At 41.2% G+C, this 18,746-nt stretch overlaps 1 protein-coding gene across 1 annotated transcript, besides 3 other annotated features; it reads left to right on the top strand.

Annotated features, from left to right (window-relative positions):
• Positions 1,182 to 1,881: an enhancer, noted in NCBI's record as "active region_25211". NCBI's record gives its function as "activates an Ori minimal core promoter by ATAC-STARR-seq in GM12878 lymphoblastoid cells {active_cell/tissue: GM12878}" and the evidence as "EXISTENCE:reporter gene assay evidence [ECO:0000049][PMID:35858748]".
• On the top strand, positions 1,631 to 2,320 carry SF3B5 (splicing factor 3b subunit 5). Its single transcript, NM_031287.3, has one exon. The coding sequence runs from the start codon at positions 1,707 to 1,709 to the stop codon at positions 1,965 to 1,967; it is 261 nt and encodes an 86-aa protein (NP_112577.1). The 5' UTR covers positions 1,631 to 1,706; the 3' UTR covers positions 1,968 to 2,320.
• Positions 7,391 to 7,602: a silencer, noted in NCBI's record as "fragment chr6:144410739-144410950 (GRCh37/hg19 assembly coordinates)". NCBI's record gives its function as "represses an EF-1alpha promoter that drives an FKBP-Casp9 reporter gene in an ReSE screen in K562 erythroleukemia cells {active_cell/tissue: K562}" and the evidence as "EXISTENCE:reporter gene assay evidence [ECO:0000049][PMID:32094911]".
• Positions 13,751 to 13,900: a silencer, noted in NCBI's record as "silent region_17637". NCBI's record gives its function as "represses an Ori minimal core promoter by ATAC-STARR-seq in GM12878 lymphoblastoid cells {active_cell/tissue: GM12878}" and the evidence as "EXISTENCE:reporter gene assay evidence [ECO:0000049][PMID:35858748]".

Here is an 18,746-nt window from a genome sequence, read left to right as displayed (position 1 = left end):
TCAAATTTTTGTTTTGGACTTTTTTTTTTTAAAAAAAGGATCTTTTTTTCAAGTAGCTTCTACCCATGTAAGGAAGTTATTAAACCAAACAGTAGGACATAAAGCAATAATAAGGAAGAGACGTATAACTTGCAAAGAGGAAAGAGAGTTTACATCTGTCTGGAGCAGCCAGAGAAAACTCTAAGGAGATGCATTTGAGCTGCCTTTAAAGGGAGATGCGTTCACCAAGGGAACAGACATTCCACGTAGAGGGAATAGCTTGTACAAGGAAATGGGGATGGACACAACAGGTAACATGGAGAAATACAGTTGTCCCTCAGTATTCGTGAGTGATTTGTTCCAGGACCCCCATGGATACCAAAACTAGAGGATGCTCAAGTCCCTGATATAAAACGGCTTGTATTTGCATATACGCACATCCTCCTGTATAGTTTGTCTCTAGATTATTTAACATACCTAATACAATGTAAATGCTATGTAAATAGTTGTTATACTGTATTGTTTAGGGAATAATAACCTTAAAAAGTCTGCATTTCGGTACAGACTGATATTTTCCCCCAATATTTTCAATCAGGTTGGTTGAATCCACAAAACCCACTGAATGGAAGAGCCAAGTAGGGTGAGGTGAGGCCTTGGAGGGAGGATATCAAAATAAGTGGCTAGAGAGGAAGGAGGAGCTTGAGGTGGAAGCCGGAATGTGTGGGAACTGGTGCTGTACTTGCTCACCAAGCACCCTGGTTAGAGCTGAAATAACTCTTTTATGCCACAAACTCCTAAGAGACATAGTTGGGACCAGAACTGGCGCCTGCTGACTTCTGGGTAATCCATCCCCGGTTGTGAAGGGACGGCCGTGCCGCCACGACGGCTCCGAAATACACCAAGAGTTTATTTTCGGGGCTGCTCGTAGTCCAGTCATTCTTGGGTTTCCCATTTCCTATCAGCCCCAAGCCACCCACGGATGCTCCCCACCTCCAGACATCGCCCTCCACTAGGTCCCCAGATCACTTTTAAAACGCGACCAGGGGCCGGGCGCGGTGGCTCACGCCTGTAATCCCAGCACTTTGGGAGTCCGAGGCGGGCGGATCACGAGGTCAGGGGTTCGAGACCAGTGAAACCCCGTCTTTACTAAAAATACAAAAAAACTAGCCGGGCGTGGTGGTGTGCAACTGTCATCCCAGCTACTCGGGAGGCTGAAGCAGGAGAATCGCGTGAACCCAGGAGGCGGAGGTTGCAGTGAGCCGAGATCGCGCCATTGCATTGCAGCCCGGGCAACAGTGCAAGACTCCGTCTTAAACAAACAAACAAACAAACAACAGAACGCGACCAGGAGTCCCGGAAGCCTGCGTGCACGAACTCCCAAGACCACAAGTCCCAGCATGCAACGCTCCTTGTTGGAAAAGGGCCTCCCTTAGCCACTAAGTGGACCATCATGCAACATTCTCTGATGGGGCGGGGATCTCCATGGAGGGGGGAGGCACACTTGTTGCGTCGCCTCAGCAACTCCAATTGCGTGACAGAATGTGCTTCCGCTTCCGCCTCTGAGCCCTATGAGCGAGAGTTACGCTACTTAGTCGTTGTGACGCCATTCTTCTGCGACGGCGCGGACCTGGAGCTTCCGCGCGGTGGCTTCACTCTCCTGTAAAACGCTAGAGCGGCGAGTTGTTACCTGCGTCCTCTGACCTGAGAGCGAAGGGGAAAGCGGCGAGATGACTGACCGCTACACCATCCATAGCCAGCTGGAGCACCTGCAGTCCAAGTACATCGGCACGGGCCACGCCGACACCACCAAGTGGGAGTGGCTGGTGAACCAACACCGCGACTCGTACTGCTCCTACATGGGCCACTTCGACCTTCTCAACTACTTCGCCATTGCGGAGAATGAGAGCAAAGCGCGAGTCCGCTTCAACTTGATGGAAAAGATGCTTCAGCCTTGTGGACCGCCAGCCGACAAGCCCGAGGAGAACTGAGACTCTGCCTTACCACCGCAGTGCGGGGCACCTCTCCCAGCGTTTCTCCGGTTTGCCAATCCTCTTAAGTATTCCTGTCTCCAAAGGACCGGCTCTCCATGGCTCCTGCGCCTCGTGCTTTCCGCGTACAGAAGTGCTTGCCCGGGGAGTCCCGCCTGACCTGCCTTCATGTGGACCCTTAGAACAGCACTGGGAGACCAGCAGGACTCCTGAGAACTGTGCTGGTGGAGAGGTCCTAGAGCCGGCGAGCGTTTGAGAAGAGGGCATGGCGCTGGAGTGAGATGGGATTTGGCGTCTCGTTTTTGGCTAATTGATTGTCATTGGCTTTTTCCATAAAGTTTAGAAATCGTTCAGTCTCTTGGTGTGAACTTTCTGTGTTAGGGTGGAAGGCTCCGGAAAGAGCTGAGCGGGAAGTGGGTTTGGGTGAGGGAGCGCATGCCAGTGTCCATGGCCAGGCACTTAGATCCGCCGTGTCTACCTTTATAATTAATTCCCCGACTGCCACTTTTCCCAAGAGCGTTATTTTCAGGCCCACAATGCCTTCAGTATTGAAATTTGTGGTTATTGTATCCCATCTTCTTTTTCTCCTGTTTTAAAACTCTTTGCAGTCTTTGCTGTCATTGTCCTCCCTAGCCTCTTTAAAATGCATCCTTTTTTTTTTCTTGGGAATTTGTGGCCATGTCTCCAGAAATGACAAGCTGGCAAGCGAGTTCATCCATTCTACATTCAACAAATATTTGTTGAGCTCTATGTGACAGGCATTTTCCCGTGTTCTTGGGGCTTACATTATGCTGGTGGTGGAGAAAGGAGGTCAAACACTAGATGTAATAAGCAAATGTTAGAAGATGCTGCGGGGAGGGGAGAACAATGTATGTGGTGCGGGTGGGAGTAGCTGGTAGGGCTGTAATCTTAAATATGATGCACAAGTTACTGAGATGGTGACATTTGAGCAAAGACTTCAGGAAAATGAGGGAAATGGCCATGCGGAAAACTGGAGAAATTGCTTTCCATGAAGAGGGAACTGCCAGTGCAATGGTACTAACGCTGGGAGTATGTATGGTTTATTGGAGGAACTTCAAAGAGGCAAGCATGGCTGGAGGGAGTGAGTAAGGGGAAAAGTAGAGGGACAGGTAATGGAGGGGAAAACAGAGTAGAGTCTTGTAGGACAATATATGAACCTCTGAGGAGCCATTGGAAGGTTGTGGTTTTTTTTAATTTTAGTTTTTAAAAACACGAGATGGATCTTGATATGTTGGCCAGGTTGGTCTTGAACTCTTGGCCTCAAGCAGTCCTCCCACTTCAGCTTCCCAAAGTGCTACGATTACAGGTGTGAGCCACCACTGCAGACCATTGGAAGGTTTTTACGCAGAGAAGTCACGTGACCTGGCATAGCTTAGCTCAGTGGTGGCTTTGGAACTCCAGGCTGGAGTGCAGTGGCACGATCATGGCCCACTGCAGCCTCAACTTCCAAGGCTCAAGCAATCCTCCCACCTCAGCCTCCCAAGTAGTTGGTACTACAGGTACGTGCCACCATGCCCGGCTAATTTTTGCATTTCTTAGTTTTTTTGTAGAGATGAGGGTCTCATGTTTCCCGGGCTGCTCTTGAACTCCTGGCTCAAGCAATCCACCCACCTCAGCCTCCCAAAGTGCTGGGATTACAGGGGTGAGTCATTGCTCCTAACTTTTCGTTACACTAGAAAATTGTAGAAGACACCAAAGAGCCTCTGTTTATGTGGATTGTGGCTATTGATATTCACCACCATAGAAATGAAAACAAAAGTTTTAATTCATTGAAAAATAATGAAAATTCTCAGAAAGGTCAATGGTAAAAATAATGATAATAAAACCATTTCATGTTAACAAAAACTTTTTTTGTTTTATGAAAAATGGCAATTTACCAAGACATAATTTAGTGAGAAGAATGGCTTTTAAGAAAAACCGGTTTTTCAGAGGTCTTCTGTGTTTGGCTTAATAGAGGACAGCTTGATTCCCATATTTGCTTTTGCATTCAAACTGTTGGGATATGAAATTTTTGTCGAAGTATGAAAAAATCCACTTCTCATAAATATTTAGTATAGGAGCAATATTTAACTTTTTCAAATAGATGTACATATACTTCTTTGATATTATACTAAAACCCAACAAGTGGTAGTTTCTTAAAGGTTAGTTACAACATGGAATCTGAAACTGGTTTAATGAACTTTTTATTCTGTTCCATTAAAATTCATTCATGTATGTTGAGCTTTGAATGGATCTTTTACCCATACCTGATTTGGAACATCATGCATCAGTCATCTGAAAAGTAATGGGTTACTGAGTTATACAGACCTTCCAAATGTTGTTACATTCATTATACATATCAAAAATCACATTGAGTAATATCATCCCTGTCTCAGGAAGGTTTTATAGTATTGGGAAACTGAAAGACCTACTGTGAAGGTATAAGTTTTCCACAAGTTTAAGTTTTTACTTGATAGCTTGAACTTGATCAAGCTATCAAGCATGAGGTTGATAGCAAATATTATTGTTTTCCTTTAAGTGAAAGGCCCACTTGGTTCATTTTCAAGAAAATGTCTGCCAAATACATACCCAATACATACCCAAGTCTGAGTAACAAGATACAGTTTGTCATTTTTTTCTTGTAAATATGTGCCTTGAGAAAAAAAAAAAAAAGGCAGCCAATTCAATTTGCAACTCAAATAATAAAAAGTGTTTTTCCTTGAGAAAACTATTGTCCTTTGGTAGGCAGCAGAAATGCTTTATGCATATTATGAATTTCATCACACAGAATATTAAAAGACATCTTAAGGGCTAAGATTTCATAAAGTTAGCAATTTTTACTGCTTCATCAAGCACATTCTTAAGTGAAACTGAGGTTTTTTGTTTTTGTTTTTACTGAGGGTGCATGGCAATGAAGTATACAATGACTAGCAATACATTTTTGTGCCCCTCCATTGATTCATGCTAAGTGCTGGTAGTTTTATCACTATTGCTTTTGCACCATCTGTGCAAATGTTAATGGTAAGAAAGGCAAGTAAAATCTTACTTTTATGAAAATAGTTTTGGCTTCAGTTTCCCTGGGATTTCTTTCTTACCATTTTTACTGGAAAGAATGACTATAGGAGATTAAACTATGGTTGTTTACACTTGGGTATCTGGCAGATATTTTATCAAAAATGGATGAAATTGCCGGGCGTGGTGGCTTATGCCTGTAATCCCAGCACTTTGGGAGGCTGAGGCGGGTGGATCACAAGGTCAGGATATTGAGACCATCCTGGCTAACACAGTGAAACCCCATCTCTACTAAAAATACAAAAATTACCTGGGCGTAGCGGCGTGCACCTGTAGCCCCAGCTGCTGGGGAGGCTAAGGCAGGAGAATGGTGTCAACCCGGGAGGCGGAGCTTGCAGTGAGCCGAGATCGTGCCACTGCATTCCAGCCTGGGCGACAGAACGAGACTCCATCTCAAAAAAACAAAAACAAAAACAAAAAAAGAATGAAATGGGCCATCGCTTCAAGAAAAACAGTTGAACTGTGGTTTCAGATGATCCCTCTGGCTGCTGTGTTGAGAACAGACTGGGGTAATGTAAAAGAAAATAGATTGTAATAATTGGCAATTAAATAAAAATGTCAACACTAATTTTTTTTCCTCTTTAAAGAGTAGCAGAGTCAAACTAAGTCACCATCCTTACAAAACTTGATAAAGGTATACAAAGTGTCATTAGAGTGAGCTCCTGTCCCCAATTCAAGGCTGTAGCAGTAGAACAAGAGAGATGACAGCCTGCATTGGAGATAGAGAGGAAAGGACTGGATATATGGTATGGGATAGCATATGTAAAGAAATGAGTAACATGTACAGTAAGAATTTAGAAGGAAGTCAGTAACTTAAAGACCTCCATGAAGAGTGAGGTTTCACAAAGGCAAGGATTTTGGTCTTTTTTACAAACCAATATATCCTAAGTATCTAGAATGATGTCTAACACATCCCAGGTGTCCAATAAATCTTGAGTGTTGAATATCAAAGGACAGGGCTTAATCCAGGTGATATATTGGGCCCATGCTAATTCATGTTCTTAGGCAGTCTTTAACTTTACCATAATAGGTAATACCAAAGAAGAGCCATTTGAAAGCATGTTTCCTATAGTATTAATAACAGCTAACATATTGAGCATTTTTATGGTGTGCTAAGTGTTTTGTGTGATCTTTGGGAGGTACTGTCTTCATTTTGCAAATGAAACAGGTTCAGAAAAGTAATTTGCACAAGATCGCACAACTAGTAACCAGGTTTTTCTAGTTTCGAAGTACAGAGTCTTGTACTGTTGCCCAAGTAGGTCTAGTATACAAAAATAGTATTAGAATAATTTGAAATAAGTTGTCTCAGATTTTTTAAATGGAAATACTAAAAGTTTAGTAGATTATATTGAAAGAATATCAGACCAATATGAAAGATCTCATATAACTCTAAGTAAAAAATGTAATTTGAAATATATTGAATAAAGATTGAAGAAAAATAATCTTAGTAGGCAGCACAATTGTTTTGTGTGGAAACACATTTCAAGTATCTGAAAGTAAAAGTGCCGTCCAAATAAATTTAATTGAGCTATTCTGTTTTTGTTGTTCTCATCTGAGAGAATATTTGTGTCAAACACAGGAGGGCAGCAGATGATACTCAGATGGAAATTACTTTCAGAAAAAGATCTAAACTTGTAGATTCCTGATAACTTCGGAGAAAAATAAGCGGTTCCTATATTTATTTAGAGTGATGTAATTAGCCACTTTGTAAACTATAAAGAATTGGGCACGTTTTTCATTTGACAAATTTTAGTGATCATTTTACAGGTGACTGTATTATGCTTAAAAGTATGGGACAAGATGTGGGCATGCTTTGAAAGCATGCTAGTTGGAGAAATAAATATAGCAGCACATAAATAACTTTAATATGTAGTAGCAAGTGATAAATGCTAAAAAAGAAATTTAGAAAAAAAAGGCTACAGAAGTGTACAGGAAGAAATTATTGCAAACCGCCAATGAGGTACTGCATGAGGGCATTGAGAAAGGCATTTGGGCAGGGCCTTGGCTAATGAAACTTACACTTTTTTTTTTTTTTTTTTTTTTTGAGATTGAGTCTTGCACTGTTGCCCAGGCTGGAGTGCAGTGGCGCGATCTCGGCTCACTGCAATCTCCGCCTCCCAGGTTCAAGTGATTCTCCTTGCCTCAGCCTCCCAAGTAGCTGGGATTACAGGCACCCGCCACCCGGCCCGGCTAATTTTTTTGTATTTTTAGTAGAGACGGGGTTTCACTATGTTGGCCAAGCTGGTCTTGAACTCCTGACCTCATGACCCGCCTACCTCGGCCTCCCCAAGAGCTGGGATTACAGGTGTGAGCCACCACACCCAGCCAAAACTTACACATTTAAGACAAGGGCAAGGTTTCTTAGCTGCCCTTGAAGGGAAGGATAATTCAAATCCCTTTTCTCTATTAAAACCTTTTCCAGGCTGGGCATGGTGGTTCATGCCTGTAATCCCAGCACTTTGGGAGGCCGAGGCAGGTGGATCACGAGGTCAGGAGTTCGAGACCAGCCTGACCAACATGGTGAAACCCCGTCTCTACTAAAAATACAAAAATTAGCTGGGCGTGGTAGTGTGTGCCTGTAATCCCAGCTACTCATGAGGCTGAGTCAGGGGAATTGCTTGAACCAGGGAGGCGGAGGTTGCAGTGAGCCGGGATTACACCACTGTACTGAAGCCCGGGCAACAGAGTGAGACTCCGTCTCAAAAAAAAAACCAAAAAAAACCCCACAAAAAACAAAACCATCTCCATTTCTTCCATTAACTTCTTATGGCTTACAAGACCTCCCACCCTTTGGCCCCTGCTTCCCTGCTTTCATAAAGCTGGAAAACCAGGATCTACATCCTAGGTTGATAACAATAACATAACAATTACTATTTACTATGTGCACACTATGTGCCAAAGACCAACATCAACATCTCAGTTTTCATGACAAACTTGAGAAAGTTATTATCCCATTATACTAATAAGCAAAAATATTAGGAAAATTTAAAGGTTTTGCCCAATATCACTTAGCAAGTAAGAGCTAGAGCAGGGACTTAAACTAGCATCCAGTCTCTTCGTGGGGTCGATGAGGGTTTCCAGAAATGTGTTTTACAGAATTCTGATTTTCATTGAAAAATTATCAATGGTTTTTTGGGGTTTTTTGGTTTTGTTTTGGTTTTGGTTTTTAGGGATATGGTGGGGGGACTATCTTGGTGAAATAAGTTTCAGAAATGCCATATACCTTGGAGAGTCATGCTTCAGATTATTTAAAGTTTTATAGTAAGAAATTTTGCTTGACCATCATTTCCTACATTTATTTAATCCTGGAATTTATTTTCTCAAGAAATACAAAGATAATTCTGAGAAAAATATTTGAGGGATACTGCTTTTGATAATGAAAACAGTTTAGAATACAGAAGTGACGTATTCAACCCTGAACTCAAGGAAGATAAATTTGGCAGCAGTGTGTAGGTTGGAACTCATAGCCACGATAACTTTCCTTTCCTTGGGTTGTAATTCCATCGCTGAAAGCGAATACCTTTGTGAATGGAAATTCTTTGTTCTCAGCTCTGATTCTTTCCACCTCTCTTAGACTAGCAAATTAAAGATATTACAAAGAAAGGAGACATTAATTATATTGCACAAATTAGTTATGAAGCTATGTACAGCTCATTCTTTTTCAGGACAAGAGCAAGAAGAAAACCAATACATTTTGTTCCTTAATTTTATTAATGTCTGGAAGATGTGTACTGATGAGGCATCAGTACTGAATGATCTGGCAGCCAACAGTTGATCTGCTTTGGAGAGATGACAATTTGTTCTTAACTGGCTTTTCATTTCACGTCGCACATTTCTTCAGCTCTCTCTGTCCTGCATCTTCTTTATGTGTGATACACACATGTGCTCTATCACGCCTGCCCACTCAACCCTGAAATACCGAAACCTGGAGCTGGGGAAGTGCTGGTAGGAAACCAAGACATTGAAGAGTCCATCTCATCTCTCACACTACACAAAGGGTCTGGTACAAATGGCTCTTTGAAGCGCTATCTGTGATCTGTGTTAGCTCAGAATCCTTCCTAGTCGTTAGCTCAGAATCCTTCCTCGTCGTTAGCTCAGAATCCTTCCTCGTCTCCACTTCCTTCATTTCCTAGCCACTGTTCTCAGTTGTTATCTTGTCCTCTAGGCGTCCCTCTTATCACTCTGTCCTCCTACTTCAGTGAACCTTATCCTTGCTTCCTCCATGTCTCCTCTAAAAACAGTGGCCTTTAAAGCAGAAGTGTCTTCGTAACATTACAAACGAAGGGAAAATACAGTAGGTGATTTGAGGCCCTGTGGTACAGCATCAAAGCGTTTAGGGTGTTCACCACCTCAGCCTCCCTCTCCTCACCTCCAAGCCCTGGACCAGCAGACTAGGGCACTCATCTCTGGTTCTGGCCCACTGCTGTCTGTTTCAGAATTCTGCCTTTAAAACGATATCATTGGTATTAATACTATCTCATTCATCAGTTTTGATATGAGAATCGAATGATGTGTACCTTGCAGAAAAGTTTGTCTCTTTCTAATTAAACAAAAAAAAGTACACAGAATAATATAACATGGAGATACTTCTACCTCAAATTTTGTCCAATTTCCTTCCCTTTTTTCTATTTTTAAAACAATTTGCAAATTATGTATCTATGCCCCTTTTTAAAACTGAAAGGAAGCGTTGCAGGTAAAACTATTGTCTCCTTTGACCATTTGTAGCCCAGTCTCTCCTGTGTCCTCATGTCCAACCCTACCCCCACCACCAAAGTAATCACTTCTATGAGTAAGTTCTTCCCTTATAGCCATTAGATTTTATAAACATATATTCGTATCCAGGAACCATATGTAGAAGTGTTATTGTGTTTTTAAAAATCTATGTGTATATGCATACATACACATATGTATAGATACATATATGTGCATATGTATGCATATGTGTATATACATATGTATATGTATGCATATGTACATATGTATATACATATGTATATATACCCATATGTACATATGTATATACATATGTATATATACGCATATGTACATATGTATATACACGCATATGTATGCATATATGTGTATATACATCTATATACATGCACACAAATGAAACTATCTGGCAGTTTCTCAAAAAGCTAGACATAGAATTATCATATGATTCAACAATTCCATTTCTAGGTATATAACCAAAGGGATTGAAAGCAAGGACTGGAATAGATATTTGTATGCCAGTGTCCAATGCAGCATTATCTACAATAGCCAAAAGGTGGAAGAAATCCACAGGTCCACTAACAGATGAATGGATAAACAAAATGTGGCATATACCCACAATGCAATATTATTCTGCCATAAAAAAGGAATGAAGTTCTGATACATGCTATATAGATGAACTTGAAGATATTATGCTAAATGACATAAGCAAAACACAAAAAAGACAAATGTGGTATAATATCATTTATATGATGTACCTAGAATAGCCAAATTCATCAGGACTGAAAGTAATAGAGGTTGTTAGAAGTTTGGGGTAGAAGCAATGACATATTATTGCTTAATGGTTACAGAATTTTTGTTTAGGGGTAATGGAAAATTATTTCCAAAATAATCACAACATAGTAGTGATGGTTGTACAATACTGTGAATTAATGCAACTGAATTAATTGTACACTTAAATAATTAAAATGGCAAATTATATGTTATGTATTTTTACTGCAATTTTAAAAATTAATAATACATTTACCAAAACCTATTGAATTGTTCATTTTATTTTTAAGTTTATTTCATTTTGTTTTCCTAGAGACAGAGTTTTGCTATGTCGCCTAGGCCAGAATGCAGTGACTATTCACGGGCGCAGCCATGGCGCACTGCAGCCTTGAACTTCTGGGATCAAGCAATCCTTCTGCTTCAGCCTCTGGAGTAGCTGGGACTACAGGTGTGTGCCACTGTGCCCTGCTGAACTGTTCACTTTAAATGGATGAATTGTACAGGATGTAAATTATATCTCAATAAAGCTGTTTAAAGTAGATATATATGGTATTATATACATCTGGGTTATATACGTATTATACATATACATATATGGTATTATGCATATAATTGATATAATATACCAATGTATTATACATATAATTGTATTACAGTATATACAGATATGGTATTATACATATAATTGAATTATACATGATATTATATATTTTGGTATTATATAGTATGGTATTGCACACATAATTTAATTAAATATATATAGTTTTTTGTTTTTTGTTTTGAGACAAGGGTCTCACTCTGTCACCCAGGCTGGAGTGCAGTGGTGCGATCACAGCTCACTGCAGAGTCAGCCTCCTGGGTTCAAGCAATCCTCCTGACTCAGCCTCTCACTTAGCTGGGACCACAGATGCATGCCACCACACCTGGCTAATTCTTTTTATTACTGGTAGAGCCAGGATCTCCACATGTCACGCAGGCTGATTCCAAACTCCTGGGCTCAGGCGATTCTCCCACCTTAGCCTCCCAAAGTGCTGGGATTACAGGCGTGAGCTACTGTGCCTGGCCCACACGTTATATTTTTGAGATCTATCCAAGTTGAGAGCTATAGTTATGTAGTTCATTCCTTTTTAACGCTATGTCATAGGAATATACTACACAATTTATATGTGCATTCTCTAATTAAGGGCACTTAGAATGCTTCCAGCATTTTATTATTTCAGACAGTGCTGCAACAAACATTCTCATATACGTCTCCTCAGATGCGGGCAAAATGTCCTCAGTATATAGGTGTGTGTCATGTGTTTTCAAAGATTTAATGTATTATATGAATGTAGGCTTCTTATTTTTAGAACCTTTACTCTTAGCCATTTATTTAACACACGTTTATTGAACCTGCACTGGGGCAAATGGGGTCACGGCCTCTGTGGATCTCACAGTCTGCAGCAAAGGAGGCATGTAATCAATTGGTTAGTATAAGAGGTGATGGACTCTTGAACACTTCAATCTCTACAAAGCAGCTCCTTCCACTCTGTTTTTCATCTGGACCCACCTCAGCTTCTCCCCCTTCCTTTCCTCTGCTTGACCCCTTTTCCTCCCACCATTTCCAGTTGTTATCTAAACTCCTCAACCAGTCTTCTAATTTTCTCAGCCTCTCTTTCAAGAGAGGTTCTTTAATCTTACTTCGTCCATCTCACCTTGCAAAAAAGTGTATCAGCCTTAGAATAAATTTTTCTAAAAATCAGTTTAAAAGAAAGAGCAAAATGTGTATTTTCCTATGAAATTTAGGAGCTGAACATCTCTCATTTCTTGTGTTTTTCTGCTAGGTTAACTTGGACTTTGTATCAACAGTCCCCAACCTTTTTGGCCCCAGGGACCAGTTTCATGGAAGACAATTTTTCCATGAACCAGGGTTGGGGAATTGGAGGATTGGAGGGTTGAGGGGGTGGGTGTGGGAGGTTCGGGATGAAACTATTCTGCCTCAGAGTCTCATAAGGAGCGTGCAACCTAGATCCCTCACATGCCAGTTCACAATAGGGTTCAAGCTCCCATGAGAATCTAATGCTGTCACTGACCTGACAGGAGGTGGAGCTGAGGCAGTAATGCTCACTCACCCACCGCTCACCTCCTGCTGTGCTGCCCAGTTCCTAACAGGCCACAGACCAGTACGGGTCTGCAGCAAGGGTTAGGGACCCCTGCTTTAAATGATAAAATCTCATAAAGCAAGAACAACAATTTTAGCTGATGCTATTCATCATGTAGCTTAGCATTTAATGCACTATAGACACTTTAAAAATATTTGAAAAATATTTGTTGACTGACAATACTAGTCAGACCATGTAATGCACAGTCCTAAGCACTAAAGAGTAATACAAAGATTATGAAAACAAGGTCCTGCACTCACAATTAATAAAGAAAATGAGGCTGGGCATGGTGGCTCCCACCTGTAATGCCAGCAGTATGGGAGGCCGAGGCAAGCAAATTGCTTCAGCTCCGGAGCTCAAGACCAGCCTGGGCAATATGTCGAAATGCCATCTCTACAAAAAAAAAAAAAAAAAAAAAAAATACAAAAATTAGCTGGGTGTGGTGGTGCGCACCTGTGGTCTCAGCTACTGAGGAGGCTGAGGTGGGAGGATCACTTGAGTCCAGGATGTCAAGGCTGCAGTGAGCCATGATTGTGCCACCACTGCACTTTAGCCTGGGTGACAGAATGAGACCCTTCCTCAAACAAACAAAAAAAGTAGTAGGCCAGGCAGGGTGGCTCATACCTGTAATCCTGGCACTTTGGGAGGCTGAGGTGGGCAGATCACTTCAGGTCAGGAGTTCAAGACCAGCCTGGCCAACATGGTGAAACCCCATCTCTACTAAAAATAAAAAATTAGCCAGGCGTGATGGCGTGCACCTGTATTCCCAGCTACTCGGGAGGCTGAGGTAGGAGGACCACTTCAACTTGGGAGGTGGAGGTTGCACCCAGCTGAGAACATGCCACTGCACTCCAGCCTGGGCAACAGAGTGAGACTCTGTCTCAAAAAAAAAAAAAAAAATGTAGTGCACCAATGCATCTCCAGATTCTAGAGTGGTGCATGACACAGAGTGGACACAATAACTGTTTGTTGAATGATGAGTAAGTGAATAAATAAATGAACAAACAAATTCATGAGGAACAATGAGGACTGGATACAGTTGAGATGGGACACAGAAAAATGCTAAACATAGATTGATTATGAATCTTTCTACCCTTTACGTTCAATGTGGAACTCTGATGTTTTCTGATGTGTTAACAACCTTACCTCAGTGAGTTTAGTTTTATCAAGTCTGACAAGCATCATAGGTTTTGGGGTTTTTTCCTAACCTCAACATCTTTCAAAGAAATACACACTTGTTTCTATCATCAGCATACAAATAAGCATGTGTGAAAAATATCAAATGTTCAAATAACTTGATAATTTCACATAAAATGAAAGTCTCAAGCCAAGTAAATCTCAAAATACATATTTGATTGAATAAAAAGTGACACAATACCCATTTTTATAGGATCACATGAAAATTCCTTTAGTTTCTTGAAGAAAAAATATATTGCTAAAACCAAAATGTTTCCCATATGCAGAGGAAAACAATTATTGATTTATGGAAGGTGAAATCTGAGGTAAATACATGTCAGTAAGGACTTTGGAGGTGATGACTATATCGTGGGAGCACAGGACTAAATATGCACGTTGTCTTTCAGTTCTTTTAAATAGACTTAAAATTTGTGGAAGGCAAATTGTGGAAAGCCAGCATGTTCACACTCATGAGGATGAAAGCTGATTAGACATTCATTTTTTTCCTCTAGCCCTTCAGCATGTTCTCTGGCTTTTGTTCTATCTCCCTTCCCACTTATCTCTTTCTTTTTTTTTTTTTCTTTTATTATTATACTTTAAGTTTTAGGGTACATGCGCACATTGTGCAGGTTAGTTACATATGTATACATGTGCCATGCTGGTGCGCCGCACCCACTAACTCATCATCTAGCATTAGGTATATCTCCCAATGCTATCCCTCCCCCCTCCCCCCACACCCACTTATCTCTTTCTTGCTGTTCTATGATAAGAAACAACACATGATTAGTATAGTGAAGCCAATACATCTTTAACCCTTTTCTCTCAGCCCTAGAACTTCTTTAAAATTCATATACTAAGACATGAAGTACTAATTACATTTCCCACACTCCAAAGATTGTGTCATGCAGATAGGAATTTTTAAGATGGTAAATAAGGCATATGTGCATGAAGGAGTTCTTCGTTTGATAACACAAGTTTATTTTGATAAAATGTACATTACTAATGGGAAACTGAATGCTAAATAATATGTATATACTGTTATGGGTACAGTAGAAAAAGATTGCAGAGGTTATTCGTTTGTTGTAGGAGCACCTGAGAATGCTTAATGTATGAACTGCATTTGAGCTGGTTATTCAGGCTTCTGTATCAAAAATCTGAAAAAAAAGTTTAAAGGTGATGAATTTATTTAATGAAAAGTATTTTTAAGGCCGGGAGCGGTGGCTCATGCCTATAATCCCAGCACTTTGGGAGGCTGAGGAGGGTGGATCACCTAACGTCAGGAATTCGAGAGCAGCCTGACTAACATGGTGAAACCCTGTGGCTACTAAAACCACGAAAATTAGCTGGGCGTGGTGGTGCATGTCTGTAATCCCAGCTACTCGGGAGACTGAGGCAGGAGAATCGCTTGAACCTGGGAGAGGGACCTTGTGGTGAGCCAAGATCACACCACTGCACTCCAGCATGGGCAATAAGAGCAGAAACTCTGTCAAAAAAAAAAAAAAAAAAAAGAGAGAGAGAGAGAAGTATTAAAACAAACCAAAAAAAACCCCAAAACCGAGACCATGTTTGTGGGTTTATTCACTCTTTAAGCCAGCAACTTTGATCACTCCAAATTCTATTTTTATTTTTTTTTTTTTAGAGAGTCTTCTTCTGTTACCCAGGCTGGAGTACAGTGGCATGATCTTGGCTCACTGCAACTCCACCTTCCAGGTTCAGGTGATTCTCCTGTCTCAGCCTCCTGAGTAGCTGGAATTACAGGCACATGCCACCACACCTGGCAATTTTTTTGTATTTTTAGTAGAAATGGGGTTTCGCCATGTTGGCTACACTGGCCTTGAGCTCCTGACCTCAAGTGATCTGCCCACCTCAGCCTCCCAAAGTGCTGGGATTACCTGTGTGAGCCACTGCACCCGGCCTGCTCACTACAAATTCTATAGTAAGATTCAAACAATATCCCTATCCAGGCCAGGACTCTTGGAATGTTTCTAGTGGGAAGTCAGATGGAACTCTCAGGATGCTATTCACAGAGAGCCAGTCAAAGGGCATGTCTTTTGGAGATGGAGTCTTGCTCTGTCTCCAAAAGAGTATAATGGCACAATCTCCACTCACTGCAACCTCCGCCTCCAGGGTTCAAGCGATTCACTTGCTTCAGCTTCCCGAGTAGCTGATTACAGGCAAGCGCCACCACACCTGACTAAGTTTTGTATTTCTAGTAGAGATGGGGTTTCACCATGTTGGCCAGGCTGGTCTTGAACTCCTGGCCTTGAGCGATCTGCCTGCCTCAGCCTTCCAAAGTGTTGGGATTACAGGCATGAGCCACTGCACCTGACTGGGCACGTCTTTCTGAAAGCATTATGGGCACTGTAAGGCCAAAGTGACCTCCTAACAGTCATTCTGTACATAGTCAAAATTTGAGTGGTGATGCATGTCACTGTTGTATTTCTGGAAAAGCTCTTTCCGTTTTTCAAAAAAGAGCCAATAATATATGCATAGTTATCACCATACAGAAAGTTTCTTTGATAGTCAAAGCCTGTAAAATTGCCTCACATTTGTTCTTTGTGAGATTATGGCTACCTCCTGCCTTCATGAAAGTTATATTCGGATCTATTCAATTTAGCCCTCCTCTACAAATGAAGAGTTTTCCCTGCACCCACATGGTCTTTAAGTCTCTCTCAATTCTAGTATATCATTTCTAATTTGTATAAGAGCTGTTTTTTGCCTCAGACACAAGGTCCTAGACAATTTGCATAATATAAATTGGCTTTCATATGCACATATTTATTAGGTTTCAAATATTCAAATATATTACACCTATATAAGACTCCTACTAAAATCCTGTGTTCCCACTTAGCATTTGATTTTTTAAATTCCCATTCATATTGATATTAACTAACTCATTTTTTCAAATATGCACTTGAGGATACTAATTTTTATGAGTTTTAAGTAGTATAATTTCTTCCAACCAGCTCTAAATTACTGAAATCTTTCAATGTCAGGCTGTTTATAGGAATGCTAAAATGCAATTTCAAATGCCCAGCATGTTAATAAGCAACATCATTTGGCTTATCTCTGCCATGTTAAGCAATGCAAGGAATATGGCATTTATTTGTACAGCAGGCATTATTTCCCAAGTGACACATCGTTTCTTATTCTTCAGCCTAAACTGCTGAATATTTTCTATTTTACCGAGTAACTGAAACTTGAATATCGGTAGTGCATGGTACATAGACCTAAAAAAGATTTAATTCAAACTACCCTCTACTGTCTCTGTGGATATCTTCAGTAACAACTTTCTTGGAACAGTGGTGCTTATTTTAAAAGATAATGTTAGGCTGGGTGAGGTAGCTCACACCTGTAATCCCAGCACTTTGGGAGTCTGTGCATGCTTTCAGTAACAGTTTCCTTGAAACAGCACTGCTTATTTTAAAAGATAGTATTAGACCGGGCGAGCTGGCTCACACCTGTAATCCCAGCACTTTGGGAGGCTGAGGTGGGCAGATTGCTTGTGTCAAGAAGTTCAAGACCAGCCTGGGCAACATGGCAAAACCCTCGTCTCTACAAAAAATACAAAAATCGGGCCGGGCGCGGTGGCTCATGCCTGTAATCCCACCACTTTGGGAGGCCAAGGTGGGTGGATCACGAGGTCAGAAGATGGGGACCACCTTGGCTAACACGGTGAAACCCCGTCTCTACTAAAAATACAAAAAATTAGCCGGGCATGGTGGCAGGCGCCTGTAGTCCCAGCTACTTGGGAGGCTGAGGCAGGAGAATGGCGTGAACCTGGGAGGCGGAGCTTGCAGTGAGCCGAGATCGCACCACTGCACTCCAGCCTGGGTGACAGAGCGAGACTCTGTCTCAAAAAAAAAAAAAAAAAAAAAAAAATTAGCTGGATGTGGTGATGTGTGCCTATAGTCCCAGCTACATTAGAGGCTGAGGTGGGAGGATCACTTGAGCCCAGGAGGTTGAGGCTGCAGTGAGCCATGATCACACCACTGCACATGATAAATTGGTATCATGTCTTAATTTTTTTCTTAAAAAAAATATTATGGCTATGGAAAAGATGGAGTTTCTCACAAATATGTGGTTAAGAAAAGTCCAAATTTTATCTGTTATATTGCAGACTTGTGGAAATTCCTCCTAATGAAGCCACTAATGCAAAATTAGTATTTATCATTTTCAGGGTGTGCAAAAGAGTTCAAGGAAAATGCCAAACTAACCTGCTCAAGGCTGGTGGAAAGATTTTTCTCTTCCAACCTAGGAAGCGCTTCAATGGAGCGACTATTTTATTCATTTTTATAGCCCAGGATGTAACACAGTGCCAGTATGCAGTAGACAGGCAATAAATATTTCTTGAATGTGTTTCTCTGCCTAGCGATTCATCTTCCCTTTTCTGATTCAAGATAATTTCAGTTGCAAAAGAAGGACATTGAAATCCACAGGCTGAAGCAAAAAGAGCTTAGGGCTCATGCCACCACTGAGTCCAGGAGCTTCAGTCTTGGTGCTTTAAGATCCACGATTTGAATATGTGACTGGGACTTTGTTGCTCTCTGTTAATTTCTCATTTCTGATTCCTCAGTACTGTTTCCACTTCCTGAAGCTGACAGTAGCTCCAAGAGCTATATACTTCAGGTTCAAATCCCAGATGATCCCTGGACCAATCATTCTGGCCAGGGACATCAACATGATTAATTTAGCCATGGGCATATGTTCCACCCCTGGATCACAGGCGAAGTCAATGCCTGCAGAAGTACTCAAGCCCACAGTAGTAAGGGGTTGGACCCATTGATAGAAAGAGGGGGACAGTTATCAGGAGAAGACTGAATGGATGCTGAACAAAACTAAGCCAGAGTTGTCCCTTAAAGATACTTACAGTATTTGTTAAGCATTCAGTCAGTCAGCTACATGC

Source organism: Homo sapiens, chromosome 6 (assembly GCF_000001405.40).
Source record: "Homo sapiens chromosome 6, GRCh38.p14 Primary Assembly".
Classification (NCBI taxonomy): Eukaryota; Metazoa; Chordata; class Mammalia; order Primates; family Hominidae; genus Homo; species Homo sapiens.
The sequence above is the reverse complement of the archived record's forward strand: the minus strand, read 5'-3'. Positions and strand labels throughout refer to the sequence as shown.